This window comes from Homo sapiens, chromosome 8 (genome assembly GCF_000001405.40).
Source record: "Homo sapiens chromosome 8, GRCh38.p14 Primary Assembly".
Lineage (NCBI taxonomy): Eukaryota > Metazoa > Chordata > Mammalia > Primates > Hominidae > Homo > Homo sapiens.
Window position 1 is genome coordinate 26,222,827 of NC_000008.11, and position 8,271 is coordinate 26,231,097.

The 8,271-nt window shown below is 44.3% G+C and overlaps 1 annotated feature.

The window, feature by feature from the left end:
* Positions 7,243-7,859: an enhancer, noted in NCBI's record as "OCT4-NANOG hESC enhancer chr8:26087585-26088201 (GRCh37/hg19 assembly coordinates)". NCBI's record gives its function as "activates a minimal SCP1, AML or CMV promoter by ChIP-STARR-seq in naive H9 embryonic stem cells {active_cell/tissue: H9 hESC(naive)}" and the evidence as "EXISTENCE:reporter gene assay evidence [ECO:0000049][PMID:30033119]".

An 8,271-nucleotide genomic window follows, 5' to 3' on the forward strand; every position in this document is an offset into this window, starting at 1 on the left:
AAAAAATTAGTCAGGGGTGGTGGCACATGCCTGTAGTCTCAACTATTTGGGAGGCTGAAGTGAAGGAATCAATTGATCCTAGGAGCTGGAAGCTGCGGTGAGTTATGATCCGGCCACTGTGCTACAGCCTGGGCAACAGTGAGACTCTGCTTCTAAAAAAAAAAAAAAAAAAAAAAAACAGGAAAGAAGAATCCCCAGAGTTGTACTACCACAAGGAGAAGAGTTCTGAACTGTGGGCTAAACCTGTGTTCTTGGGGACTTGCTGCCTCCTAAGAGCATGTCTAATGTCCTGAAACACCTCCAGATCCAAGCTTCTCAGCATTAGGGTCTTGCTTTGGAATAATGCCTGAGTGTCTAAGTGTGAATTAAAAGAGCTCTAAATTAGAGTCCAAAGTTAAGGCACCAGTGCCATTGGTGAGAGATCTGGACAAGCAGCGCATCCTCAGCATCATGGATGAGCACCCACGGGAGTGAGAGGGACCAGCTTTCATCAGCACTAGTGAGTCTGTGAAGCAGTGCCAGTGGTACACTGACTCGGCTACTGTTCTCTCTGCCTGGCAGACTAGTCTAGCATTTGGGGCTGAGCAGGTGTCTGATGCTCTAAGACAAATCAGAGATGCCTCAAGAGGGAGATGTACTTCCTGCTAAGTTGGGCACGTGGGATCTTCAATGATTCATTGGAAAAATGGAGAGACGTGATCACATTTGCACATCCAGACTGCTGATACAGATTATGCTAGCTTTAGTAGATATTCGATAAAAGTTTGATGCACAAATGCTTGTTGTAATTTCTTCTGCCCCATTCATTGTCTAGGTCTACTTTTTACCCCAGAGGATACTAGCAAATTAGAGGAGAAAGGGCTACATAATGAGAAGGGAGAAGAAGGTAGCTTAGAACTATGATTATATCCACTGGCTATGAGCTTCCTTTAGATTAAAAATGTTCTTATTGATTTCAGCAGGGATACATTTACATACAATTGTTCCTCAAATCAGCAAGTATTTATTGTGTACTTGTACAAAGTGAAACTTTGCTCCAAAAACCTTGCCTATTATAGTATTTAGAATTCACTGTCAGTCATGCTTCATTACTATGCAGGATGAATCATAGACCAGCCTCTCTGTGGTATCAAGAAAAGAGGTTACAGTAAAATAGAGCCCACGTATTTAAATATCTAGATTTTCTTCCCTGTTCAGACACAAAAAGGTTGTGAACAACCAGTGATATTCCCAGTCCCAGTTATCTTCAATTATACAATAAATATGCAATGATCTAAGAGGGGCAGATCCCGGTCTGATGGGGTCTGAAGCTTATGCAGTTTGGGGGGGGTCCACTTTCAGATTAAAAAAACATAGAAAACTAAAATTTAAATTGGGTATGAAAATGAATGTTTACTCAAAATGAGAAAATAAATCACAACAAATAGCAATTTGTTAAATCTGATTAATCCAGAAAAGGAATCAAAAAATCCAGAAAAGGGGCTGGGCACAGTGGCTCACACCTGTAATCCCAGCACTTTGGAAGGCCGAGGTGGGCAGATCAATTGAGGTCAGGAGTTCGCCAATGTGGTAAAACCCTGTCTCTACTAAAAATACAAAAATTAACTGGGCGTGATGGCACGCGCCTATAATCCCAGCTACTCGGGAGGCTGAGGCAGGAGAATCAGTTGAACCCAGGAGGCAGAGGTCACAGTGAGCCGAGATCGCTCCACCGCATGCCAGCCTAAGAGACAGAGCAAGACTTCATCTCAAAAAAAAAAAAAAAAAAAAACCAGAAAAGGTAATACAATATTTTTAGCAATTTGCTGGCTAACATCCCTGTATAATACATTTTTCCTACTTTTTTACTGCATTGTCTTTGATCACTTCTTTGTAGGACAATGATTTTGTTAAAATATATGGAGAGAATAGAAGGATAAAACTCTTTTTTCTCTAACATGGTTCCTTGAAATTTGCTTCTTATTATTAATAATTCTAAGCTCTAGAGCTGTTGTTACATTTTTAAAGTGCTTAGCAAATATTGCTCATTTTCCACAGACTGCACATTGATGCTACATTTCAAGACCTGTTTCTCCTCCACTTTCCCCATGCTCCTGGGGCTGGATGTTGTGGGACATTCATATCACGATATCCTCTAGCCCCACACCTTTATGTCACTGCACCTGAATGGCTAGGAACAATGTGAGCAGATATGGAAGGGACTATAAACACAGAAACATATCTCACTAAACCCAGATTAAATGCACTCACAAATCAACTTCCACTGAGCTGTATTCTCCAAATGCTCATGGCCATTCTACTACCACCAACACAAGGAGAAAAGTGACAGAGGGCAAGAAAAATGGGATGCACAGCAATGCTGACCAATGACAGCTAAAATGTCTTTTTTTTTTTTTAAGTGAGACAGGGTCTGGCTCTGTTGCCCAGGCTGGAGTGCAGTGGTGCAATATGGCTCACCGCAGCCTTGAACTCCTGGGCTCAAATGATCCTCCCACCTCAGCCTGCCAAGTAACTGGGACTACAGGCATGTACCACCGTGCCTGGCTAATTTTATTGTTATTTTTCATAGAGACAGGGTCTTGCTATGTTGCCCAGGCTGCTCTTGAACCCTGGCCTTAAGCAATCCTCCTGCCTCTGTCTCCCAAAGTGCTGGAATTACAGGCATGAGCCACTGCACCTGGCTCTAATAATATCTTAATTTTTAGTATTTTACTAAAGTGTGTGACCACATGAACACATGGCCCTGAGGCATAGTCTTCTTTAGCTTGACTGTAAATCTCCCTCTGTGGTGGTATTTCATCAGCTCCTACCCTTCTTCCCTCACCACATCACCTTTCCCACCTCAGCTCCCAGGTCTGGGTGCTCTTTTGTGTCCTCATGCACTTAGAGACTCTTTTGTTGCCAACCAGACCCAAAGTTGATTTCTCCACTGATCTCCTCTTCCAAGTCATTGTCCCCAGTTTCTGGGATGGACACCTGCTTTGTCCCTGCTGTCATACTCTGTATTTTTTTTTTTTTTTTTGAAACGGAGTTGCCCAGGCTGGAGTGCAGTGGTGTGATCTCAGCTCACTGCAACCTCCGCCTCCCAGGTTCAGGCGATTCTCCCGGCTCAGCCTCCCGAGTAGCTGGGATTACAGGCACCCGCCACTATGGCCGGCTAATTTTGTATTTTTAGTAGTGATGGGGTTTCACCATGTGAGCCAGGCTGGTCTCAAACTCCTAACCTCAAGTGATCCACCCTTCTCAGCCTCCCAGAGTGCTGGGTTTACAGGAGTGAGCCACCACACCCAGCCTCTTACTCTTGAGAGTTGCTTCTCCCAGAGCCTGGAATTCTGACCATTAACCCTAGCATGGTGGTGGGTCCACTTTCTTACAGAAAGGCTCTTAGCAAGGGTCATCACTGCCACTGCTGGACTCTGAAGTTCAGCTGCCCCAGACACTCCCCTCACTTGTACTTGGCTTGGTAGATTATGGGAGCCATAATCTACCAAGATTATGCTCTTGTTAGATTATGCTAGCTGCTCCCTCTTAGAAGTGCTAGGAACTGCTGGGTACGGTGGCTCACACCTGTAATCCCAGCACTTTAGGAGGCCCAGGCGGGTGGATCACAAGGTCAAGAGTTGGAGACCAGCCTAGCCTACATGGTGAAACCCTGTCTCTACTAAGAATACAAAACTTAGCCAGGCATGGTGGTGCATGCCTGTATCTCAGGTACTTGGGAGGCTGAGGCAGGAGAATCACTTGAACCCAGGAGGGAGAGGCTGCAGTGAGCTGAGATCGCACCAATGCACTCCAGCCTGGGTGACAGAGCAAGACTCTGTCTTGGGAGAAAAAAAAAAAAGAAGAAGTGCTAGGAACTACTGTTTGAACAGCAGTGGCGCACGTTATGCCCTTTGGACCCTGAACTTTGGACTCAGTTCCTTGTAGAGGGATCCTCAGATGTCCCCAACCATAAGCTCTGTCATGGCCCAATTTCTGAGCCAACTGAAAAGCTGGGAATGCTTTAGATAACCTCAAGCCTACTTCACTTCCCATCCTCCCTTAGGAAAGCGAAGGCGCTGACTTCAGTCACCTCTCATTCTCTCTTTCACCCACTTGCAACCTGGCTTTTAGCATACTGCACCGTTCCACTCCCGGAAACCCATTACCTCAAAGGTTTCTAGAGGTGGCACTCAAGTGGCTTTTTCAACCCTCGTCCTCTCTAATTTTCTGCCATGCCCAAACTATTGACCACTACTTATTAAAACTCTTTCCCTTGGTTTCCATACTACCAGCATTCTCATCTGTCTCTCTGTGACTCCATTTTCTTCCTTAGATTCCTTCCCTAAGCATCCCTTAAAATCAGGCCTTCCCCACGGTCTGCCTCTCCATACACTCTTCCTTCCAAATGATCTCCCTTGCTTCAGTGATAACCTCTAATCATGACTCCTGAATCTACACATGGAGCTCTGGCCTCTCTCCCAGACTCCAGCCTGTATTTCCCGACTGTTTTTTAGATATGCCACATGCATGTCCCACTTGAATTCAAACTCCCCTAACCGATGCTGAACTCCTAATCATCACTCAGCAAACACTCTTCTTCCTGTGACACCCCCCAACCTCGTCTCCATGAATGAATGGCATTACCACTTACCCTGGGCTAGCAATCTCTAGTTTTCTCCCTCCTTCCTGCAGCGAACCTGCTAGATCAGGTCATGTCAAGTCTAACTCCATGACCCCTCTCAAGCCCATCCTGTCTATTCCATTTCCACGGCCGTCTTTCCAGTCCAGCCACCAGTTCTTTGCATGGAGACTCTCACAGTGGGCCCCTCATTGATTTCACTGCCTCCAAGTTACCCTCAGTCCAATTTCTCCTGCATACTATTGACTTCCATCTTTCTGCAACACAGATTAGTTCATGTACATTTCCTATTCAAAAAAAAATGTTCATACTTAAAAAAACCTCCAGACTCCTGGATGCGGCCCTGAACATCTTCTTCATGTGCCTCCAACTTAACTCCGCTGCCTCATCTTCCTCGTAATCCCCATGCACAGCACGACTGAGTAGCCTGCCCAGACCTCTGACAGCCTGGCACCACACACACCCCTCCCATGCAATCCTCTCATCCTTTAAACCAGACATTCTTCTTCTTTTTTTTTTTTCTTTTTAGAGAGGGGGTCTTGCATGTTGACCAGCTTGGTCTTGAATTCCTAGCCTCAAGCAATCCTCCTGCCTCAGCCTCCCAGTGTGATAGGATTATAAGCGTGAGCCAAGTCACCCGGCCTTAAACCAGCCAATCTTCTTAATCCAGGGAACCATCCTCTCCACAACGTTGGTCTGGAATGATGTAAGTTTAGGGGATTATTTTATAGTTCACATGTATGTATGTATGTATGTATGTATTTTTTATTATTTTTTATTATTTTTATTTTATTTTTTATTATTTTTATTTTGTGATGGAGTCTGGCTCTGCTGCCCAGGCCAGTGTGCAGTGGCACTATCTCAGCTCACTGCAATCTCCGCCTCCCAGATTCAAGTGATTCTCCCACCTCAACCTCCCAAGTAGCTGGGACTACAGGTGCGTGCCATCACACCCGGCTAATTTTTGTATTTTTGGTAGAGACAAGGTTTCACCATGCTAGCCAGGCTGGCCTCAAATCCCTGACCTCAAGTGATCTGCCCACCTCAGCCTCCCAAAGTGCTGGGATTACAGGTGTGAGCCTCACACATATTTAGATGGCGATCTCTCTCACCTATTAATCAGCAAGTTTTCCCGGGGCAAGCAGCAGGTCTTACTGGCACTGTTTTTCTGCATCCTGGGTGCAGTTCTGCTGCTCTCAGCCGTTGTGCCTCTGCTTATCAGCTCATGATGGTTACTGTGAAGGCTGAACTCATGTGGCATGGCTGGGTTGCTTGGGGGAAAGGGCCTGAGCCTGCCACCAAAGAGACACAGCTTTTCAACTGAACTATATCACTTATTAATGGTACAACTTAGAGCAAATTTCTTACCCACTCCTAACCTCAATTTCCTCATCAATAAATCAAAATAATGGTAACCTGATACAGAATAAGTGACATGATATATACAAGAGTGTCTGGACATAGAAGGCTCTCAGTTATGGATTGGATTTGTTATGCTCTCCCTGCAAAGCCCACCTCTGTTTTTCGTTTTTGTTTTTTAACCTGAAAAAAAATCACAATCCGAAAAATAATAACGATTTGAAATTTTAAAACTAAAAAAAAAAATCGAGGGGATAAAACTAGTAGCTAATATAGAAAGGTGATAAGTGCTATAAAATTTGTATTATAGTGCTTACCACATCATATTATAATAATTTATGGGCTGTGTGTCTCTTCTGTGAGCTTTACAAGGAAAAGGACTATGACCCTTTATCCCTAACACCAGAACAGGTCTTGGCATGGAGGAAGCATTCAGGATATGCTTATTGTCTACTTGAAGAGCAATTTCACAATATCTTTCACGAATTACATTGCACCTACCCTTTGCCCTAAATATTCCACTTCTAGGAATTTATCTTACAGATAAACTTGTACAAGTATGCAAAGAGATAAGGGTCCCAAAAAATGTGCATTGTGACATTGTACATAATAGCAAACCAAACCAACCAACAAATCAACAAAAAATACTTTTTTTTTTTTTTGAGACTGAGTCTCCCTCTGCCGCTCAGGCTGGAGTGCAGTGGCGCGATCTTGGCTCACTGCAAGCTCCGCCTCCCAGGTTCACGCCATTCTCCTGCCTCAGCCTCCTGAGTAGCTGCTACTACAGGCTCCCGCCACCACACCCGGCTAATTTTTTGTATTTTTAGTAGAGATGGGGTTTCACCGTGTTAGCCAGGATGGTCTCGATCTCCTGACCTCGTGATCCACCCGCCTTGGCCTCCCAAAGTGCTGGGATTACAGGTGTGAGCCACTGCACCTGGCCAACAAAAAACACTTTAAATGTCCATAATTAAGGTCCAGTTTAAAAAACAAATAAAGACATACCAAGGAATACTATGTAATGTTAAAAAAAAAAAATGTGCAGTAGATCTCCAGATACTGGTATGAAGAGGTGCCTAATAACATATTGCTAAATGAAAAAAGCCAGCTGCATAGTGCAAATACACACACACACACACACACACACGTGCCTCTATGTGCAAGAACAATTTCTTGAAGGATATATGGGGAACTGTTTCTAGTGGTTACTTCTATAGACTGAGACTAAGAAATCAGGAGTGGGAGGAAGGATTTCCACACTCACTGTATATCCTGTGTACAATTTGAACTTTTTACCATGAACAGGAACTAATTTTGAAAAATAAAATATAAATGTAAAAAATGAAATTAGCAAAAAATATTTGTTGAATAATTCAACTTTGGGCTTGTCTGGGTAGCCTTTGTGTGTTTGATTATTAATTTCTATCAGCAGGATAAAGAAAGTGATAGATGTGCAGGCTCCTTTCGTTTCCCTTGATGTAAGTTCAAAGACCATAAGGAACAATTTAGGGAACACTCAGTTGCTCAGCGGGAGTCCCTTGTGGCTTATCAGTGTCACTAAGAGCACCAGATGCATTTATAATCCCATCCGTAAGTGTCGATTGTGGCTTGTTCTCCATGATCAGTTACCAGCCCCGTCTTACACTCTGTTAGCAGAAAGCACATCCTCACCAGGACAAAAGGGGGTATGGAGAAAATCAGCTTTGCTGATTGTCTCTGCAGACTTCACTGCTCTTTCCCTGGGAGCCATGTGCTGCCTTAACAGTTGGCCCAGAGCTGGCACTGCATAAAGGAGAGGAATCTATAGCAGCAAGAGGTGGTGATTAATTTTAAGCTGTCATGGAAAATGTTTTTGCACTCTAATGTCAGAGAACTGTATTATTATTATAGGTCTAACGTTTTCTTGCCAAAGCTGTGTGTTTGCTCTCAGGATACAAAATGAATACAGAAAGCTTTCTGGTTGGCTGTCAGTAGCATCTTTTGGAGAAGGGAGAAAAGGAAGGCTGCCAAACCAGCCAGGTTCCACAGCAGCCCTCATGGGGCAGGTCCTTCCCCACCTGCCCCCTCTCCCTGCCCCAGGCTGGAGGAAGCCCTGGCCACTCCCTTCTGCCCTAAATGTTGTCCAGCTGAATACAGTTTTGCTCTCTCAGCCATCTGACCCACAAAGTCTACTGGAAATCTCAGATAGGGGCAGACACCCTGGAGAAGCAAAGGATAGAGAAAGTCAAGATTTGATAGAAAAGAAGACAAGACTGTAGCCGCAAGTAGGGAAAAAAAAATGGGCCGAGAGC